The 22,651-nt window shown below is 45.8% G+C and overlaps 1 protein-coding gene across 1 annotated transcript, besides 1 other annotated feature; it reads left to right on the top strand.

The window, feature by feature from the left end:
- On the top strand, nt 555-20,606 carry CYP4F2 (cytochrome P450 family 4 subfamily F member 2). The gene is made up of 13 exons (NM_001082.5): nt 555-603; nt 1,017-1,215; nt 2,979-3,123; nt 6,047-6,100; nt 6,193-6,320; nt 8,196-8,317; nt 8,936-9,206; nt 12,321-12,387; nt 12,576-12,705; nt 18,732-18,865; nt 18,961-19,025; nt 19,201-19,283; nt 19,693-20,606. The coding sequence occupies exons 2-13, from the start codon at nt 1,018-1,020 to the stop codon at nt 19,856-19,858; spliced, it is 1,563 nt and encodes a 520-aa protein (NP_001073.3). The 5' UTR covers nt 555-603; nt 1,017; the 3' UTR covers nt 19,859-20,606.
- Nucleotides 5,344-6,543: an enhancer, noted in NCBI's record as "MED14-independent group 3 enhancer chr19:16002896-16004095 (GRCh37/hg19 assembly coordinates)". NCBI's record gives its function as "activates an origin of replication core promoter dependent on BRD2, BRD4, P300/CBP and CDK7 cofactors, and independent of MED14, by STARR-seq in HCT116 cells {active_cell/tissue: HCT116}" and the evidence as "EXISTENCE:reporter gene assay evidence [ECO:0000049][PMID:35650434]".

The following is a 22,651-nucleotide window of genomic DNA, read 5'->3' as shown; positions in this document are numbered from 1 at the left end:
TCATACTGAGTAAGTCACTGGCCTTGTAGCATCTGGAGTGATTGGAGTGATCCAAGATCCCTAGTTCCCATGTCACAAATGAGGATCCCACATATCTGGGACAGAGATGGAACATTATTTCTGGGTGTGTCTATCTAATCTATTCATCCTATCTATCTAATTTCTCATCTATATATATATTTGCCTACCCATCCATCCATCAATCCATCTTAGCTGTACGTTTATCCATTCCATCTATTTATCCTATTATCTATGTATCTATCTATCATCTATTAATAGCTATCTATCCATCTGTCTAATATATCCATTATCTATATCTACTTTATCTATCTACCTAATGTATCCATCCTATCTACTCTATCTATCTGTGCATCTACCCATCCATCTGGACCCTGAGCTGATTCCTCTGCACCCAGCTGGCCTGACGCCAGGTGTTGATTGGCTGCCCAGGCTCAGGAGACACATCCAGGCTGCAGGGATTGGTTGGCCCAGCCCAACCCAGCCAGCCCTCCCACAGCCTTTGCTATATCAAGGGCCAGGGTCAAAGGCCTCCCAGCAGACAGAGAGAGGAGGTTGTCTGGGACAGACTGCTCCTGACAGAAGGTGCCAGGCTGGGGGTGGCAGGCCTGGGGGGGGTCCTGGCCTGGGATGGAGAGGGGCACTGCCCAAGGCCCACGCAGCTCCTGGGTGCTGGCCTGGAGGATGGGTGGTTTCCGAGTAACTGAAACCAAGCCCCTGGCAACCTCACAGTGATTCAGGCTGGGCCTTTCTGGACTTTAATCAGTCTCTCTCTCTCTTTCCCATTCTAAGTGCTTACTAGGGAACTGGAGGCCACTTGGCTGCTGGTTTTGGTTGGGCCTTTCTGGACTTTACCTCTCAGCCCCTTTTTACCCATCCCTGAGCCCTCCCTGCTCTACCTCCGGCACTGCCCGTCCCTGCCTCTCCACTGTCCCTGGAGGTCCCTGGGCCGTTCTCTGGGCCTCAGGATCTCACCGTCCATCCCGTCTGCCCTGCAGGATGTCCCAGCTGAGCCTGTCCTGGCTGGGCCTCTGGCCAGTGGCAGCATCCCCTTGGCTGCTCCTCCTGCTGGTCGGGGCCTCCTGGCTCCTGGCCCATGTCCTGGCCTGGACCTACGCCTTCTATGACAACTGCCGCCGCCTTCGGTGTTTCCCACAACCCCCAAGACGGAACTGGTTTTGGGGACACCAGGGCATGGTGAGTGTGGCAGCAGGATGGGTCTAGGTCTCAGGATGGATGGACTTCCTGAGGGGTACGAGGCTTAGGGAGTGGGGGTGAAGGGGTGGGCTGGGATCTGGGGTGGCAGAGAAGCAGAGGAGGCATCTTACTCATTCCTCTGCTTATTCATTTCTGTGAGGTGCCTACGCAAGCCCTTCTCACTTCCTTGTCCTCCCACTCCAGGCCTGCATTGAATCCTTTTCCTGCCTGTCTTCCCACATTAATGCACCTCTGCGGGGCTCCTGGGCAGAGGGTTGGCTGCACAGAGAGGCGAGTCCCTGGCATTCCCACATTCTCCATTGCTGGACTCGAGGCTTCTTATGCCCACTGTCCAGGGTCCTCTCCTTGCCTGGACTATTTCCTGTTATGAGGGTACAGCTGGGCCAGAGGAGAGGCATGGGCCGTCTCCCACTTCCACTACACCCGAAGGCACCTTTCTCTTATATTCTTCTTCTTATCTCCCTCTTATCAATGAGACCTGTTGCCAAACCCAGATAAAAGTTGGCCACTCACTTCACCTTTCAGAAGCTTTCCTTGGCCTTTCTCCTCCCCGTGACCTTGCCCTCTGACTTAGACCGCTCTCCTCTTTGGGGAATGTGGTCTTAGTCTGCTCATTTGCAAATGGCAGGATTGATGGATGTGTCCACAGATAAAGTGGAAGGGTGCACAGGACACACTAGCACAGAGCCTGCTGCAGAAGCTGCTCCCAGGTGGGAGCCATTGTCCTGATGGACAGTTAGAGTCACCTCTGCTCCACTAGTGGCTGCTGAAAAGGGAAGGTCTCCCATGTGCAGAACCTTCTCCATGGGAGGAACTGGAGCCTCTGTGGATCAGCCAGGACATGAAGGCATGTGGGGACCAGCCTTAGGGACATGTCCTGAGGCGATACTGCTCCCCACAAATCTCCCCTGTGAGGACCTCCCCATATAGCTGCCTCTGGGCTGAAATGACTCCCAGAAAAAGAAAATCCTTCCTCTCAAGATAACTGGGCCTCTGTGAGTGGACAGTGCGTCTTCTCCCTCTGCCCTGGGATGCACCCTTGGGACTTGGAGATGGACCCAAGAGAGATAGAGCAGGAGGAATGTGGATAGATAGATAGATAGAGCAGGAGGAATGTAGATAGATAGATAGATAGATAGATAGATAGATAGATAGATAGCTAATAGGATAGATAGATAGATGCACAGATAGGATGGATAGATGGATGGATGGATGGATGGACAGGCACGTAGGTAGATAGATAATAGAATAGATGGATGCATGGACACATGGATGCACAGATAGCATGGATGGATGGATGGATGGATGGATGGATGGATGGATAGATAGATAGACAAATAATAGGACATATGGATGCATGGACACACGGATGCACAGATAGGATGGATGGATGGATGGATGATGGATGGATGGGTAGATAGAGTAGATAGGATGGATAGATTATGTAGACAGATGGAGTAGATATATATGATGGATAGATTAGACGGATAGATGGCTATTAATAGATGATAAGCAGACAGACAGATGAATATATGGATGGATGAAAGCACAGATAAAATGGATTGATGGATAGATGGGTAGGCAGATAGATATATAGATAGAAAAATTAGATAGATAGGATGAATAGATTAGACACACCCAGAAATAATGTTTGACCAACTACCTGGGCATCCCTTAGCCCAGTCAAGTAGACACCTAGAATTAACTATCACAGAAGGTAATGACCCCTGCCTTGCTTGCAGGTCAACCCCACAGAGGAGGGCATGAGAGTTCTGACTCAGCTGGTGGCCACCTACCCCCAGGGCTTTAAGGTCTGGATGGGACCCATCTCCCCCCTCCTCAGTTTGTGCCACCCCGACATCATCCGGTCTGTCATCAACGCCTCAGGTACCATCTGGAACAGCTGGTGGGGCAGTGCATTTGAGGCCTGCACTTCCGCTATCCCCAAGCTCCTGTGTGGGCCCTGCAGTACTCTGGCCTCTCCTTTCCTTCCCTCTCAGCTATCTTCATCTTTCTTTCATGTATTCATCAATTTCCATCTCAGCGTCTCCTCTCTCTATTGCCATCTACCCCCTGTTCTGGTGTTCTGGGCTGCCCTGGAACCCTAAGAGACCTCAACCCAAGGCCCAGTCCTGGAGGAACCCCCAACTTTAAGGAGATGGACCTGGATAGAGATATCCCCAACTTCATGGGATCAGGAAAGGGCCAGAGGGAGATGGATCACAGCCCAGGGAAGAACAAGGTCTCTGCTGGGGCAGGCTGGAAGGCTTCCTAGAGGAGGAGTTACTGGAGCTGTGTCTGGAACAATGAGTAGGAATGTTTGAAAGGAGAGTGCAGGGTGAGGCAATTGGACATCGTTAGTATTCAAGGCCCCTTGCCAGGCCTAGCATCACCTTGCCTGTCCCAAAGCCTAGAACAATGAGGAGGACTTGTGGCTGGTGGGGGATCTGGGCTGCTACTTCCATGATGTCCACCTCTGGTGGGTCAATTCCCTTTACCCCATCCTATAGCTTGTCTGCCCTAAGTTCGTTGCTCTCCTGCTGCAGGTCCCGGGGATCTCCAAGAGGAGACTCCACCCCAGCTTGGGTCCCTTTCCTTGACCCCTGTGCTTCCCATCGTTGGACGGGCGAGGCTGAGCAGGGGGAATGGGCAGCATCCTACAGAGACCATGGCTCTGACCTCAAAATGCTGAGTGACTCTGGGCTGGTACCCAGCTGTCTCTGGTTATTGAAGTCTCTTTCAGTTGTGAGTGGTGGAAACCCAACCTGGTGTGGTCTAAGCAAAGAAAGATAATCTATTGACTTTAAAGTCCAGGGAGGGTGGCCTTCAGGCATGGCTGGATCCAGGTCTCACACAAGGTCACTGGAAATCTGTCTTTCTCTCTTGGCTTTAGCTTTCTCCATGTCGCTTTTCCTATCAAGGTGGCCTTTTCCTCATGATGTCAACGATGAGTCCCAGAAGCTCAGTTCTTATGGGAAAGGCCACCTTTCCCCTAGAGTTCCCAGAAATGGCCCATGGTTTACTTCTCCTGGCCTGGATCACAGGACCAATTTTTCACCCAATCCCTGTGTCTCTGATTGCCCAGTCTTGGTAGGCCTGGGTCTTCCAGAGCTACTGTTTTGGGGGCACAAAGAAGTTTGTTGGTTAAGGATTCAGGCCATGGGTGCAGACAGACCTAGTCTTAGGCCTCAGGCTTGCCGTGGTCTGGGACTGTGGGCAAGTGACTTTATTGTTCAGAGCCTCAGGCTCTTCATCTGGAAAATGGGATGAATGAGAGCCCAGGGAACATGGTGTGTGGATCCACATGGGGAAAGACCTTTTCTGTCTGTGTAACTGAAGGACTGGAGAGTCCTGCATGGAGGATGTGAGGAGGCAGGGGGTGCTCAGCACTGACAGGAGGATGAGATGCTGCTTGAAATTCTCAGGGAGAGGGCTTCGACCTCTTCCCTGCAGATCCTTCTCTCTCACAGCCTAGGAGAGCATGAATTGGGTCCTGTGTGTTTTTCTCCAGATTCACAGCTCAGAAGAAGGTCTCCTATACACACAAAGCCTGGCGTGCACCTTTGGGGATATGGGCTGCTGGTGGGTGGGGCCCTGGCAGGCAGTCATCCACATCTTTCTCCCCACGTGCATCAAGCCTGTGCTCTTTGCTCCAGGTAGACATCGCACTGGCCAAGCTTTGCCCACAGCTGGGGTTGCTGTGCTGCCTCCAGCTGAACACGTGACCGATGTGCAGACAGGAGGGGCTGTGGTGGAGATGCCATTGCCTCCATCGCCCCTGGACTTCCACCTGTCTAACCTCTGTTGCTGTTTGCTCATGTCTGGGGCGTGTCTCTACAATGGCTGTTATATGGCCAGGTCTGCCTTGTATATTTACACCTGGGTCCTGGTTACACCTGAAATATGTTATACCTGGTTACATCTGGTATATAATTCCAACTGGGGTCATGTAGAGCTGGTCAAGTTTGGGGCTTATCTGTGGCCAAGGACATTTGGGGCATGTGAGGGCCTGTTTGGTTCTTGTCTCAGGTGCTGTTTGACACTGCCGTTTTCTCCTGGTGGTCCAAACATCTGGGCGTTGTGTGAGGTCTGGGGGTTGTGTGAGGTCTGGGACCCAGGGTCCCTATGTGAACTGTCTGAGACATTATTTGAGTCTTGTCTGAGGCATGTGTTATAGTATATTTGGGTCATGCCTGAGGAACAGTCTGGTTCACATGTTGGCTATGTCTGTGACATTAAAGGTACCATATTTATATTCAACCCAGAGCCTGTATGTGGAACACGCTTTTAAGATCATGTTAGACCATCTCATGTGCATGTTAGAGCACACCATCTCATGTTAGGAATTGTCATGTATTTTGTGGCCATGTCAGGACATGTGAACACATGTCAGGGTCATGTCTCATGTCCAGGTCCATGTCAGAAGATGCCATATCAGAAGATGTCAGAGAGTGCTGGGACAGACAGGGTGTCCTAGGTCCTTGTGAAGCATTCTGTAGAATGCTGAGCTGTGCTCAGGGGTTGCGGAACATGTTGGATCGTGTAGGAGGCATGTCAAGGCATGCTGGAACCCTGACATAGCTCCTACACGCCATGTTAGGCAGTGTCATTGCTGTACTGTGCTGCTGTAGCCTGGTCTGGTCTTCCCTCCCCTCCCCATCCTCCCTTCTTCCTCTGCCCTTGGCCCTCTTCCTGCTATGTGGGGCTCAGAGTGGGAGAAGTGCAAACCTCTTGCTGGGAGCCTCCACCCACCCCCAAAGTCCCTCTTTCACCTGCCTCCATGGCCCCTGATTGTCCTCATTTATGTCAGCTGCCATTGCACCAAAGGACAAGTTCTTCTACAGCTTCCTGGAGCCCTGGCTGGGTGAGTATCTGCAGGTGAACAGGGTTGGGAAAAACGTTGGGGGGCCAGGGGAGGGAGAGGTCCTTGCCCATGGCCCTTGGCTGCCCTGCTAGGGGATGGGCTCCTGCTGAGTGCTGGTGACAAGTGGAGCCGCCACCGTCGGATGCTGACGCCTGCCTTCCATTTCAACATCCTGAAGCCCTATATGAAGATTTTCAATGAGAGTGTGAACATCATGCACGTGAGTTATTTGAAGCCAAGGTCCCACTTGCAGCCTTGGGGTGAAAGGACAACAGAGAGATCTAGTCTGGAGTTTTGGCTCTGCTGGGTGCCATTGGGCCATTGCTCTTTCTCACTGAGCCTTGGTTTCCTCATCTGTAAAATGGGGATAATAATCCCTACTTAAAAGATGGTCAGAGTAATGTAATGGAGTCACGTCTCTGGTGCATAGCAGGTGCCCAGAAGGTGTCTGTTTCTATGTTTCCATCACCAAAGCCCTGTAAACACAAGAGGGTCATGACAACAATTTCATAGTAGCTGTTGCTGATAAGAAACCACCTGAAAACTCATTGGTTTAAACCAATAAGTGTTTATGTTTGCTAATAAGTCTTTGGGACAGTTGGCAGGTTCTTCTGTATATGGAAGGGACCACTCATGGTACATGAGCAGCTGGGGGTCAGGTAGGCAGCCTTGCAGGTGTTGACTGAATTCTGCCACATGTTTGGGTTTTGGCTGGGACATGTTTGGGTTCTCTCACGTGTCTAGGTTTGGCCTCATCTGGGACCCCTGGATGTTCCTCCCTATGATTGTCTCCTTCCAGAAGGCGCGCCATGGTTCACAATGCAGGCAGGGTTCCAAGGAGTAAGACAAGGCTTAGCTTCGTTAGTTATTAACTCATCATTTTCACCACATTGTATTTTGACATCGAAAGCCAAAAGTCCAACACAGAATCAAAGGCAGGGGGATAAAATAGGCTCTGTCTATTAATGGGAGTTGCTGAAAAATCACATTGCAAAGGGTGTGGATATGGCAGGAAGGGAAGAATTGTGGCAAAGGTTTTGCGAAGTATCTAGGATTTTTTTTTTAACTTGCAAATTGATAAGTTAGCTTGTTACTGTTTCATAAATTCTTCCAGAAGGACGAGAGACTCCTGGGTCAGAGACAAAGGATAGTTTACTACTCATGACACAGACAGCAGCATGTGTTTCTTGTTAGATTGCCTTTTTTCCCTCCAAGCTTCCCAAATCCCATGGGCTGACACAGGTGGGCTTCTATAAGTGCCTGCTGACATCATATATTGCATTACAGAAGAGGAGCTTTAAGCTTAGGGAATCTGCTTTTATAGAAAGCAAAAGCAACATGTCTAGAGGGAGTCTTTACCTTATCCCTCAAAGTTTTTCTTCGCAAACACAACTCTGAGAAATTTTCCATGTTAAGGACATCAGTGTCTTGCATTCATGACATGCCCAGAAAGAATGCTCAGGACTCAACGAAGGACTACCTCCCCCAAAACAGGGATATTTTTGAAATCAATTTATAACAATGCAGACGGGGAAATCCAACATTTATTGATCACATACCATATGCCAGAAACAATGCCATGTGCCCATTCCATGATACGAGTATGTATTGTCTAATTTGATTTTAACAGCTCTGCGAAGGAGAGATTATGTATTTTTGCCCCATGGTAGATGATGAAACTGCAGGTCTGAGAGATTAGGGAACTAACCCAAGTTCACCCAGCTAATAAGTGAGCATGGCGAGGTGGAGCAGAGTTTCTAATGTGAATTATATGGCTCCAAAGCACATCATCTTAACTGTTTCTGAAGATTTGACAGGCAGGATATAGGGGAGGGTAATGAGTTGACTAATGGCACACAGAGCACAGGGGACAGAGCTGGAACTTGAACCTAGTTCTCCTAACTCCCAATCTTGGGTCTTCATCTCTTAATAGTAACAGCTTTTGTTTGCACCATAACCTGGTGCTCCCTGGGGAGGGGTCCCTGGGGAGAAGATGAAGAGGCTTATTCTGGGGAGCCCATCTTGGCAGTTGGGGTTGGAGAGGTGCTCAAGGGAGCAAGGAGCCTGCCCCAGCTCTGTCCCCTTCTCTGGCTAGGCCAAGTGGCAGCTCCTGGCCTCAGAGGGTAGTGCCTGTTTGGATATGTTTGAGCACATCAGCCTCATGACCTTGGACAGTCTACAGAAATGTGTCTTCAGCTTTGACAGCCATTGTCAGGAGTAAGTTCTTGCCCAGGATCTGGGATCTTGGGCTGTGGACCCAAAGTGGGTAGGTGGGAGAGGGAGGACTAAGCAGGGAAACCAGACAAACCTTCCTGGAGGAGTTTTGTTATACCTGATCATTGAAGGACTGGTATGAACTTTATCTTGAGGTTTCCAGGGAGCCATTGAAGGGGTTTGAACTGGTGGGTGTGGTCAGAGCTCTGTAGGGGACTGACTAATGTAGCACTAAATGGAGTTAACACTGATGCAAAGAGGCTAGGGTGAAAGCTAGACCATGGACCAGTTGCAGGAGGATAAAGTCTGAGCTTTGTGGACAGTTTCAAGGAGACGGGTCAGGACTGTATACTGGGAGGGAAAGAGAGAATAGGAGAATAATGTGCAAGCTATGCTCTGGGTGCCTAGCGGCATGGAGGCATCTCACAGAGATGGGATGCAGGGAGAGAAGAGAGCTTGGAGAATCAATCTCATGCTGATCCCCACCCTGTATCTGTGGGGTCATCTGTTCCTGGATACTCTGTTTACTGATAGGAGGTAGATCCTGGCTGCTGGTGGGAGGTGATCCTGGGGCTTCAGGTATATTAAATTGTTGCCTCCCTTTCTGCCCTTATCCTGCAGGAAACCCAGTGAATATATTGCCGCCATCTTGGAGCTCAGTGCCCTTGTATCAAAAAGACACCATGAGATCCTCCTGCATATTGACTTCCTGTATTATCTCACCCCTGATGGGCAGCGTTTCCGCAGGGCCTGCCGCCTGGTGCACGACTTCACAGATGCCGTCATCCAGGAGCGGCGCCGCACTCTCCCTAGCCAGGGTGTTGATGACTTCCTCCAAGCCAAGGCCAAATCCAAGACTTTGGACTTCATTGATGTACTCCTGCTGAGCAAGGTGGGCCTCTCTGGGATCTGAATTCAAGAAGTAGAAGGGAGCTTCATGTGAAATGTCAGATGAAAGGATTTGAACTTGATTAAGAGGGCACTAGGGAGCCATGGAAGGTGATTGAGGAAGGGAGGGACAGGTCAGAGATAGGTTTTAGAGATGACTGTGGAGTGCACCTAGCAGGGAGCTGCTAGGCTTGAAACTGACAAGTCTGAGAGTTTGCTCTATTTACAAACTAATGAGTTAATTGTCCACATTTAACTCCATACATCTACATCTATATCTATGTCTGGTCTATGTTTATGTTTTTGCCTATGTCTTTCTATATCTTTGTCTCTGTTTGAGTTTGTGTCTCTATGACTGTGACTATGTGTATGTCTTTGTCTTTGTAATTGGCCATATCTGTATGTCTTTTTATCTATGTCTTCATCTTTGTCTATGTCTACGCCTTTGTCCTGTCTTTTCTATGTCTCTGTTTATGTCTTTGTCTCTGTCTATATTTTCATCCATGTCTATGTGTATGTGTATATCTGTGTCTGCGTCTATGCCTTTGTCTTTTTTCTGTGTTTGTGTCTTTGTCTCAGTGTATGTCTATGTCCATGTTTTTTGTCTGTGTCTATGACTATGTCTTCGTCTATGGCTATGTCTATGTCAATGCTATGTCTATATCTTTGTCTGTGCCTGTGCTTGTGTCTGTTTCTGTCTATGTCTATGTTTATGTCTATCAGTAGTTGTGTCTGAGTGTGTGTCATGTCTATGTTTATGTGTATTTTTGTGTCTGTGTTTCTAAGTCTGTGACTTAGTCTATGTATGTGTGCGTCTGTGTCTATATCTGTGTCTATGTCTATGTTTATGTGTACTTGTGTGTCTGTGTTTCTAAGTCTGTGACTTTGTCTATGTGCGTGTGTGTCTGTGTCTATGTCTATGTGTATTTGTATTTGTGTGTCTGTGTTTCTAAGTCTGTGACTTCATCTATGTGTGTGCGTCTGTATCTATATCTGTGTCTATGTCTATGTTTATGTGTACTTGTGTGTCTGTGTTTCTAAGTTTGTGACTTTGTCTATGTGCGTGTGTGTCTGTGTCTATGTCTATGTTTATGTGTATTTGTGTGTCTGTGTTTCTAAGTCTGTGACTTCATCTATGTGTGTGCGTCTGTGTCTATCTGTGTCTATGTTTATGTGTATTTGTATTTGTGTGCCTGTGTTTCTAAGTCTGTGACTTTGTCTATGTGTGTGTGTCTATGTCTATGTTTGTTTATGTGTATTTGTGTGTCTGTGTTTCTAAATCTGTGACTTCATCTATGTGTGTTTGTGTCTGTGTCTATGTCTGTGTTTATGTGTATTTGTGTGTCCATGTTTCTAAGTCTGTGACAGTCTATGTGTGTGTGTGTCTGTGTCTATATCTATATCTGTGTCTATGTCTATGTTTACGTGTATTTGTGTGTCTGTGTTTCTAAGTCTGTGACTTTGTCTATGTGTGTGTGTGTCTGTGTCTATATCTGTGTCTATGTCTAGGTTTATGTGTATTTGTGTGCCTGTGTTTCTAAGTCTGTGACTTAGTCTATGTGTGCGTGTGTCTGTGTCTATGTCTATGTTTATGTGTGTTTGTGTTTCTAAGTCTGTGATTTTGTGTATGTGTGTGTATGTCTGTGTCTATATCTGTGTCTATGTCTATGTTTACGTGTATTTGTGTGTCTGTGTTTCTAAGTCTGTGACTTAGTCTATATGTGTGTGCCTGTGTCTATATCTGTGTCTATGTCTATGTTTATGTGTATTTGTGTGTCCATGTTTCTAAGTCTGTGACTTAGTCTATGTGTGTGTGTGTCTGTGTCTATATCTGTGTCTATGTCTAGGTTTACGTGTATTTGTGTGTCTGTGTTTCTAAGTCTGTGACTTTATCTATGTGTGTGTGTCTGTGTCTATATCTGTGTCTATGTCTATGTTTATGTGTATTTATGTGTCTGTGTTTCTAAGTCTGTGACTTTGTCTATGTGTGTGTGTGTCTATGTCTATGTTTATGTGTGTCTGTGTTTCTAAGTCTGTGTTTTTGTGTATGTGTGCGTATGTCTGTGTCTATATCTGTGTCTATGTCTATGTTTACGTGTATTTGTGTGTCTGTGTTTCTAAGTCTGTGACTTAGTCTATATGTGTGTGCCTGTGTCTATATCTGTGTCTATGTCTATGTTTATTTGTATTTGTGTGTTTGTGTTTCTAAGTCTGTGACTTTATGTGTGTGTGTCTGTGTCTATATCTGTGTTATGTCTATGTTTATGTGTATTTGTGTGTCTGTGTCAGTTTCTAAGTCTATGACTTTGTCTATGTGTGTTTGTGTCTGTGTCTATGTCTTTGTCTATGTGTAGGTCTATTGTGACAGATGCATTAAACCTCTAGATCAGAGCAGCCCATGTCTTGCTCACAGCAATACTGTTAGCCAGAGTGGGATTGTGGCACTGGCTCTTCATCCTCAAGTCAAATTTCTCCAAGGGTAATGTTTTCACTTGTATGTGCAGCAGAGTTTGCATCCTAAGAGAGGGGCCCTACATTATGAGTCTTGGCACATTTTCTATTTCTTCCCAAGAAAGAGAATGAGAGAGACAGAGAAAGAGAGAGAGAGAGATTGAGTGAGAATGGTAGCTTTGTGAGAGATGGTGTGCTTTGTTCTGGAGCATAAACAAATCCTCTTCAGTGAGATGCCATAGTCCTTAGCCTTACAACCCAAACGTCTCCAGGGGGATAAGATTCTCTAGATTTATCACTCTAGAATGTGGGCAAATCTTTGAAGCAATACTTAATCTCTAATTTCCAAGGGAAATTGCCATTTAATTCTCCTGTAACTCAGGTTGCCAGTAACTTTTTCTCAGAAACTTTTCATTAAAATATTCATGGGTCATTGAGTCTTCCCAGTAGGAACCCAAGAGGAGGCAAGGAAGCCAGAGAGGAAGGCCATGAGGTGAGGGCTCTGGCCATGGTGACCAAGAGGGGTCTAGGAGTGCAAGATGGACTTGGATTTCTGGAAAAAGGATGAATCTTCAGAGACTGTCTCAGATTAGACTCAAGAGCCCTTAGAGCTAGTGTGACTTTTTATGGGGGTGGGGGTTGGGGGGGGTTACTGCCTTCTCTCCAGGATGAAGACGGGAAGAAGTTATCTGATGAGGACATAAGAGCAGAAGCTGACACCTTTATGTTTGAGGGTGAGGGCCCCAGTGTGGGGCTAGAGAGGGGACCGGGATCTCTCCCTTCCAGGAACAGGGTGGGTAGACCCCCACAACCTTCCCATCCCCCTTCCCCCATCCTCCCTGAGGCCCTCAATGCATGGGTGCTGTCTACCTTCGGGTGCTGAAGCAGCCCAGAGACCCAAGCCTGCCTTGCTGCCCCCCAGGCCATGACACCACGGCCAGTGGTCTCTCCTGGGTCCTGTACCACCTTGCAAAGCACCCAGAATACCAGGAGCGCTGCCGGCAGGAGGTGCAAGAACTTCTGAAGGACCGTGAGCCTAAAGAGATTGAATGGTGAGTGCAGGTGCTTGTGGCCTCTTCCTGAGACCTTCTCATTGGCTCTGCTCCCCAGGTGGGGAGGGGAGGAAAAGCTGTTTTTGTTGATTCTGCCACTATTGCCTAGTGGGAATAGGAGCAGAGGACCACAGGCAGGACTTAGTACCCATCCTGACTGTCTGGGGAAAGGTTATAGGCCCTTAGGACAGAAAGACCTGGGCTTCTGAGAGAGTTGGTGATGATATGTGAGGACAGATAACGCCACTTAGACGTGTTCAGCAAATGAACTTCCCCTCCACTCTCTTCCTTTCCTCCCAGAAATATCATTTTTTTTGAACATCTTCACTTCTTGAATGTTTGCTCTTCTGTTCCCTAATTCCTACTCTCCAGTCGAGTCCAGGGTTTTATAAGGGAGACCTAGGGGTAAAATTCATCCATTCTTGTCCGGAACACTTGCACTGTTCATCCGTCCCATCCTTATTCAGCAAACACTCCCACACTGCATTTTCACCCCCACATCTGTGCACAGCATCTTTCTGTGCTCTGGAGACCTGGGAAGGAACCAACCCAGGGATCTGTTTTCCAGGTGCTCCCAGCCTGGTGGTGGAGCTGTCCCTGGGCAGGACACTCCCAGCCCACATGGGCAGAGATGGGATTTACAGTAAGAGAAGCAGGACTAGGGGGTATAGAAAGTGTCTCAGTTGAGAGCCTAAATAATGATCAGTAGATAATTGGGTACAGTTGGGGGGCAGTGCTCTAGGTCAAGAAGACTGCCTGGGGTCTTTGGGGGAGGAAGAGAGAGGGAGGAAGAGAGAGAGGAGAGCGAGGGAGAGAGAGAGAAGGAGAGAGAGAGAGAGCAGGGTCAGGACAGAAAGGAGGAGAAGGGGAGAGAGAGGGAGAGACTGAGTTGTAATGAGATGATAAAACCGGAGATGGTAGCAGGGGCTGGCTGTGGAAGCCTTGGGGAAAATGTTAATGGCTTCAGTTTTAGCCCAATGGCAATAGGGAGCCATGGGAAGTGTTTGAGCAGTGTAGGGACAGGTCACATCTGGGTACCAGGAAGATCTTTCTAGGGCTAGTGTGGAGGGCGTACTGGAGAGGACCAGCTGTAGAATGAAGGCACAGTGGGGACATTCTGAGACCAGAGCCAGGCCAGGGGCTGGAGGAAGGAGAGGAAGCATTGGAATGGACGGATGTCTTGGATTCAGTGTCCTCTCGTCCACACCTTTGCCCAGCACAGCAGTCCAGTGAGGAGGAGAAACATTTTTCTGCTTTTAAAACCAATAATTTTTCTGCATTTTTAACAAACAATTTTTTATTGCTGCATAAATAGATGCACATAGATTTGAAATACATGTGATAATCTAATACATTCATATAACTGGTAAAGATCAAATCAGTGTACTTGGGATATCTGTCGCCTGAAATATTTAGTCTTTTCTTTATGCTAGAAACATAACTAACATAAGCTAACTATTTAGGAATATACAGTACATATCGTAAACTATAGTGAACCCACTGATCTATCAAGTGCTAGGTTTTATTTCTCCTATCAAACCTCTTATTTATGCCCGTTAATCAACTTCTCCTCACCCCTCCCTCCCTTCTACCAATCTACCTTCTACTTTCATGAGATCCACTTTTTCAGCTCCCACATGTGAGTGAGAACATGCGATATTTGTCTTTCTCTTTTTGGCTTATTTACTTACCACAGTGACCTCCAGTTCCATCCATGTTGCCACAAATGACAAAATTCCAGTGTTTTTAATGGTGCATAGTATTCCATTGTGTATACATGCCACATTTCCTTTCTTCCTTCCTTCCTTCCTCCCTCCCTCCCTCTCTCTCTTTCTCTCTTTCTTCTTTCCTTTCTTTCTTTCTTTGAGACAGAGTCTTGTTCTGTCGCCCAGGCTGAAGTGCGGTGGCACGATCTTGGCTCACTGCAACCTCTGCCTCCCGGGTTCAAGCTATTCTTCTGCCTCAGCCTCCCAAGCAGCTGGGACTATGGGTGCACACCACCATGCCTGGCTAATTTTTGTATTTTTAATAGGGCTGGGGTTTCACCATATTGGCCAGGCTGGTCTCGAACTCCTGACCTCATGATCTGCCTGCCTCGGCCTCCCAAAGTGCTGGGATTACAGGCATGAGCCACCGCACCCGGCCGCCACATTTTCTTTATCCATTCAGTTGATGGGCACTTAGGTTGATTCCATATTTTGGCTGTTTTGAATAGTGCTGCAATAAATACGGAAGTATAGATATCTCTTCAACAGTTTTATTTTCTTTCTTTGGGATAGAAATTTCTTCTCTTTCTTTTCAGTAGTGGAATTTCTGGGTTATATGTTAGTTCTACTTTTAGTTTCTTGAGGAACCTCTGTGCTGTTCTCTGCAGTGGCTGCGCTAATTTATATTCCTGCCAACAGTGTGTGAGAGTTCCCCTTTCTCCATATCCTCACCAGTGTCTATCGTTGCCTGTCTTTTTGATAAAAGCCATTTTAACTGGGATGAGATGATATCTCATTGTGGTTTTGATTTGCATTTCTCTGATGATTAGTGACATTGAGCATTTTTCCATCTATCTGTTGGCCATTTGTATGTCTTATTTTAAGAAATGTCTATTCAGATCTTTTGACCATTTTTAAATAAGATGATTTGAGTTCTTTTTCCCCTATTGAGTTATTTGAGCTCCTTATATAATATATTCTGGTTATTAATCGCTTGTCAGATGAGTAATTTGAGAATATTTTCTGCCATTCTGTAAGTTGATTCTTCACTTTGTTGACTGTTTCCTTTGCTGTGCAGAAGCTTTTTACCTTGATGTAATCTCATTTGTCTATTGCCTGTGCTTTTGAGGTCTTAACACAGAAAATCTTTGCCTGGACCCATGTCCTGGAGTATAAAATCCAGATTTCAAGCAAAATTATGGATGTGGTTAAAAGAAAGGGTCCAAAAAATTTTATGATAAAAATGAGCTTCCTTATTAAGCTCCACCTTAGCAGTGACTATGGTCAACAGTTTTCTGTGTATTCTTCCAGAAAATGGCTATCCCAATGCCCACATTTATATGAATTCACACTGTGATTTTTATTTATATGAACACATACTGTGTTTTTCTTTGTAAAGAAAACTATACAAAATAGACGCAGTTCTGGACATTATCTCTGAGATCTATTTTTCTTAAAATACGAGTTTTCAAAAATGAGTTTGTTTTTAAATTGTTCTTTCATTGATAAATTTTAATTATATATATTAGAGGTACAATGTGATGTTATGATGTATGTATACAACCTGAAATTATTAAATCAAGGTAATGAACAAATCCATCACTTCATATATTTATCATTTTTATGTTGAGAACATATATATATTAGAGGTACAATGTGATGTTATGATGTATGTATACAACCTGAAATTATTAAATCAAGGTAATGAACAAATCCATCACTTCATATATTTATCATTTTTATGTTGAGAACATTTGAAATTTACTCTCTTAGCAATTTCAATTAATACATTGTTCACTAAATCACCATGCTGTGCAGTAGATCTCAAAAACTATTCCTCTTGTCTAACTGAAGCTTCTATCCTTTGACCAACATCTCACCCTTCTCTATCCCTCCCTCAGCCCTGGCCTCTGGTAACCATCATTCTGCTTCTATTTCTTTTCTTTTCTTTCTTTCTTTTTTTTTTCATTTTTGAGATGGAGTCTCGCTCTGTCACCCAGGCTGGAGTGCAGTGGCACGATCTCAGCTTACTGCGACCTCTGCCTCCCAGGTTCAAGTGATTCTCCTGCCTCAGCCTCCTGAGTAGCTGGGATTACAGGCTCCCGCAACCACGCTTGGCTAATTTTTTTGTATTTTTATTAGAGACGGGGTTTCACCATATTGGACAGGCTGGTCTTGAACTCCTGACCTTGTGATCTGCCGCCCTTGGCCTCCCAAAGTGCTGGGATTACAGGCGTGAGCCACCGCGCCCGACCTCCACTCCTGTTTCTATGAGCTTGACTATTTTAGGTCCCAAGATAAGTAAGATCATGTGTGTTTGTGTTTCTGAGCCTAGCTTACTTCACTTAGCATAAGTTCCTCCAGGTTCTTTCATGTTGTGGCAAACAAAATAAGTTTTCTTTCTTTTTTTTTTTTTAAGGCTGAATGGTATTCCATTGTATATACACACCACATGGAAAATGAGCATTAAATTATAAAACCAGTGATAAGAACAGATTCTTCTTGCACCAAATGAGATATTACAGATAAGACTAGCTTTTTCCTTGACAATCCTGCCACCCCACCTAATCCTTTCTCATTCTCCAAAGGTGTCTCCAGAGCCATAGATTTGTTATCTATCTATCTATCTATCTATCTATCTATCTATCTATCCATCATCTATCTATGTATCTATATACCTATCTACTATCTATATATCATCTATGTATCTCTGTTTCTATCATCTATGTATGTATCTGTCTATTCTCTATCTCTCTATATCTCTTATTTATTATCTGTCATCTATCAATCTATCATCTATCTCTGAATCATTAATTTCATAAATATATATTCATATACTTTTTGCCCTTTTTATGTGCACAAATGTATATATTTGTAACTTGTTTTCACTCGACAGTGTGTCTTAATGCTATTTTTTTCTGAATGCTAAATATTTTATTCCTTATTTATTCAGCTCATTCCTATGTTGAATGCACATAAACATTTTCAGTTATAGTAGATATTTCCAATTTGCCTTCCACAGTGTCTGTACTGATTTACCTTCCAGCCTGCAGAATGTGATGAGACTAGTGATCCCTATTTCCTCCTTTTGTGTAGCTGTATAGTATTCCATCGTGTGGCTGTTTATCTAAACATCTTCCCATCAATGTGTATGTGGCTTGTTTCCAACCTTTTGCTAAAAGTGGACATGAGGCAGTCAGCATGTGTGCACAGTGACCATTCCTTGCATGTATAAGCATCTCTGCAGGACAAATTCCCTGAAGTGCAATTGCTGAATCAAAGAACATTTGCACTGTACAATTTTAATTATCATTGCAAATCCTTTCCTATTAGCTGAGTTTGATGGCACAAGTTTTCCCATAACTTTACCAATACTACTAATGTATTATTAAATTTTAAAATCTATGCCAATCTTCATATTTCTTCTTTTGATGGACATTGTTTTAAATAAGAGTGAGGTTGAACATCTCTTTCACGTGTTGATGTTTGTTTCTTTTTATGGAAGTGGTTCCTTTATTTTTTTGCTCTTTTTCTTTGGATTCTTTAAAAATATTTACTTTTAAGAATGTGTATTAAAATTGATTTTTTTTTTTTGAGATGCAGTCTCTATCGCCCAGGTTGGAGTGCAGTGGTGTGATCTCAGCTCACTGCAACCTCCACCTCCCAGGTTCAAGCCATTCTCTTGCCTCAGCCTCCCGAGTAGCTGGGACTACAGGTGCCCTCCACCATACCCCGCTAAGTTTTTGTATTTTTAGTAGAGACGGGGTTTCACTGTGTTAGCTAGGATGGTCTCGATCTCCTCATGTTGTGATCCACCTGCCTTAGCCTCCCAAAGTGCTGGGATTACAGGCATGAGCCACCACGCCCAGCCAAAATTGATTTTTTTTTTTCTGTCTTGGGTTGCAAAATATTGCCTTTCAACTTTTGGAGGGTACTTTTCATTACTATCCTTTATCTGCAAAAACTACCATCTTGAGCATATTCAACTTCTGTGAAGTTAAATTGATCCACTTTTTTCTTTTACAACTGTAAAATCCATCAGTTTCCCAGGATTTTGGTTTGAGCAGGGGCTGTCTTTATCAAATGTGAAGTTTTCACTTATTCTCATGTCTTTTTCTGAGCTCTCCCTCATGTTCCATGGGTCTGTTTTCTCATTTTTGCCACAGTGCCACACTATTTTTATTCTTGCGACTTTGTAACAATTCTTGTTAAAAGTTTATTTTATTGCGGGGAGAAAAGGTCTCACTTGCAAACAGAGAGAAGCTGGAGAATTGTGTCTTTGCTCCCTTGATAAGGATTGGGGCTGGGGTGTTTCCTTAGGGACGACCTGGCCCATTTGCCCTTCCTGACCATGTGCATGAAGGAGAGCCTGCGGCTGCATCCCCCAGTCCCGGTCATCTCCCGCCATGTCACCCAGGACATTGTGCTCCCAGACGGCCGGGTCATCCCCAAAGGTGCTCACAGCCTCACGGGGAGGAGTCTCCTGGGTAGGAAGAGGGGCCCCTCAGTGAAGGAGGCCTTCTCCTGACTGCTCCCTTCTCTCCCACAGGCATTATCTGCCTCATCAGTGTTTTCGGAACCCATCACAACCCAGCTGTGTGGCCGGACCCTGAGGTGCGGGGCCCCTCTCTCTGTTTTTGTCCATTCCAAGGCTCCTAGAGGAGGGGGCAGGGTTTTGATCAGGAGTATCCAACATCACCTCCCTCAAAGACACACACAACTGTCTGTCTCTCCAAGGCTGGCGGACTGGGAGACCCCACCCAACAACCCTTCTTGGTCTCACCTCCAGGTCTACGACCCCTTTCGCTTTGACCCAGAGAACATCAAGGAGAGGTCACCTCTGGCTTTTATTCCCTTCTCGGCAGGGCCCAGGTAAGGGCGGCCTGTGTCTGAGGTGGGAACGGGTTGATGGGTGCAGGGGTCTGGGCATGACAGTGGGGAAAAGGGGGACATTGTAGATGGTCCAAGTTCCAGCTCTCTTTCCCTCACCTCCTCTGGAGTTTATAGGAAAAGGTCCATAGAGTACGGTTGGGTTGGTCCTAGAAGGGTCTGTGGTGTGCTCAGAGCCCCCTCCTACCCCACCTTGGTCTAGGCTGGGGGTTGGAGCTCGGCTAGGCTTGCAGGATATGCAAGCCCGCATGGGGATCCAGGCACGGATACCCCCTTCTCTATTCCTCAAACTGCTCTAGGTGGGGTTGGGTGTCCCAGGCCAGGTTACCGGCTTGATGGGGCCAGGATGGGGCTCCTGGGTGCAGTCAGAGTTCCCACCTCCCTCCCCTAGGAACTGCATCGGGCAGACGTTCGCGATGGCGGAGATGAAGGTGGTCCTGGCGCTCACGCTGCTGCGCTTCCGCGTCCTGCCTGACCACACCGAGCCCCGCAGGAAGCCGGAGCTGGTCCTGCGCGCAGAGGGCGGACTTTGGCTGCGGGTGGAGCCCCTGAGCTGAGTTCTGCAGAGACCCACTCTGACCCCACTAAAATGACCCCTGATTCATCAAAAGTGAAGCCTAGAATTACCCTAAGACCCTGTTCCACAGTCCTGTATTCCATCCTAGATATCTACTCAAAATAATTGAGACAAGTGTTCAAACAGAAAGACGCTTGTGCGTGAATGTTCATGGCGGCCCTATTCACAGTAGCCAAACGATGAAAACAACCCCAAGCTATATATTACCAGATGAAAGGATAAACAAAATGTGGTCCATCCATACAATGGAGTATTACACAGCCATAAAAAGGAATGAAGCAGTGATCCCTACTACACTGTGGATGAACCTTGAATGCATGATACTGAATGAAAGACGTCAGATGCAAAAGGTCACATAGTGTACTGTCCTTTTATACGAAATTTCCAGAACAGGCCAATCTGAAGAGATGCATAGCGGATTGGTGGCTTTCAGCAGCTGTGGGGAGGTGGGACTGAGGAGCGACTGCTAATCAGTATGGGGTTTCCTCCCGGGATGGTGAAAATGTTCCGGACCTAGATAGTGACGAAGGTAGCACGACACTGTGAGTGCACTAAATGCTATTGAATTGGACACTTTGAAATGGTGAATTTCGTGGTATGTGAATTCTACCTCAATCAAAAAAATTTGCTATTTTATCTCACATACATTTTTTTTCTGTCCAGGTTGTTCATATAATAATATGCTGTGAGCATCTTTCCATGACATTAAATCATCTTAGGAAACATTATTTTGTGGTCCTCAAAATGTGTGTGTTAAGTGTTCAAATCAGTCTTAATTTAAAAAAAGACATCATATTAGAAAATAAAAGTGTTTTGTCTCACTTTGTAAGAATTAGCTTCATATACATTGACTATTAGTAACAAATTGAGTTATTCTTCATCAAGTAACTTTTGGGGTAGAGATCTCATTTTCACAGCAATAGATGCACAAATATTCATGTAAGATACAGGTGTGGTTAGACACCTTTCATAGAACAGTTATGATCTGGAAATTCCACAGACACTGAATATTTTGGTCGTATTAACAGAAGTAGATCACTGAGAAGGGAGAAGGTGACTTTTCAGCTCCCCCAGGTAAATGCTGATTTCATCCTCACATCGATCTTACAGATTGTAGATGAACTCACTTGTTCAAGGTCACTCAGTGAAGGGTGGAGTCAGGGGTGAATCTGAGCAGTTGGCATCAGAGGTCATGCCTTATCGTATCAAGGACATGATTTTCAAAGCGAGTCTCAGCCCTAGGCACATCAGATTACCTGGGAACCCCTACAGACTCTAGACTGAGTAGATGAGACTCTTTGACAGGTGGTGCCTACATTTGCTTTGTTTTGTTTTTTGTTTCTTTTTCTTTTTCTTTTTCTTTTTTAATTCATTTTGTCTTTTTGAGACAGAGTCTCCCTCAGTCTCTCAGGCTAGAGTGCAGTGGCACAATCATAGCTCACTGCAACCTCAAACTCCTGGCCAAAGTGATGGCATTAAAGGTGTGAGCCCCTCCTCCCAGTCCCGATTTTTTTTTTTTGAGATGGAGTCTCACTATGTCGCCCAGGCTGGAGTGCAGTGGCACAATCTTGGCTCACTGAAACCTCTGCCTTCCGGGTTCCAGCGATTCTCCTGCCTCAGCCTCCCGAGTAGCTGAAATTGCAGGTACGCTCTACCGCACCCAGCTAATTTTTTGTATTTTTAGTAGAGACGGGGTTACACCATGTTGGCCAGGCTGGTCTTGAACTCCTGACCTCAGATGATCCACCTGCCCTGGCCTCCCAAAGTGCTGGGGTTACAGGCGTGAGCCACTGCACCCAGCCCCAAGTTTTTAAATATAATATTGTTGACCAGAAGTACATTCACTCGTGTAAAAAATAAAATACCCAGTGAGAAGTAATGGTGCTACATATGCCCTTCATCTGCCCAGTTTCTTCATGTGTATAAAGGTAAATACTTTCACACCTAGTGCATCCTTTCATAGTATATTTAGCCAAACAATATATGTAATTAGTCACCCTAATTACATATTAGCATGCCTACATTACAATGAGTGTGCTTACTTGCCACTCCTGTATTTTCATGGCTCATCTTAAAATCACATTAAATTTTCAGAATTTGTTTTCTTTGGTGCTTAGTTCAGTTTGTTTTTTGAGACAGAGTCTCATTCTGTCACCCAGGCTGGAGTACAGTGGTGCAATCTCAGCTCACTGCAACCTCCACCTCCTGGGTTCAAGCGGTTCTCCCGCCTCAGCCTCCCAAGTAACTGGAATTACAGGTGCACACCACCACACCCGGCTAATTTTTGTATTTTTAATAGAGATGGGGTTTTGCCATGTTGGCCAGGCTGGTCTCAAACTCCTGACCTCAGGTGATCTGCCCCCTCAGCCTCCCAAAGTGCTGGGATTACAGGCGTGAGATAGTTCAGAGTTTTGACACATGGCTAGAGTCATGTAACCACTACTGCCACAGCCACCCTTGGTGGTCAAAAACCTCCTTCCACTCCTGACCCCTGAAAACCACTGCTGTTTTCTGTCTTCCCATAGATTTGCTTTCTTCCTATAGTTGTGTGAATGGGGTTATGCCATTGGGAGCCTAGGAGTCTTGCTGCTTTCACTTAGTATAAAGCATCTGAGAGTCTCCCATGTTGTCTGTATCAAAACCTTGTTTCCTCTTATTGCTGGGTAGAATTTCTGGGCATGGATAGGACACTCTTTGTTCAGTGGCTGAAGGGCAAGTGGATTGTTTCTGGTTTTTGGATATTATGAATAAAACTGTTATGGATATTTGTACA

The sequence above is a fragment of the Homo sapiens genome, chromosome 19, assembly GCF_000001405.40.
Source record: "Homo sapiens chromosome 19, GRCh38.p14 Primary Assembly".
Taxonomy (NCBI): domain Eukaryota; kingdom Metazoa; phylum Chordata; class Mammalia; order Primates; family Hominidae; genus Homo; species Homo sapiens.
This window is presented reverse-complemented; position numbering and strand designations above follow the sequence as displayed.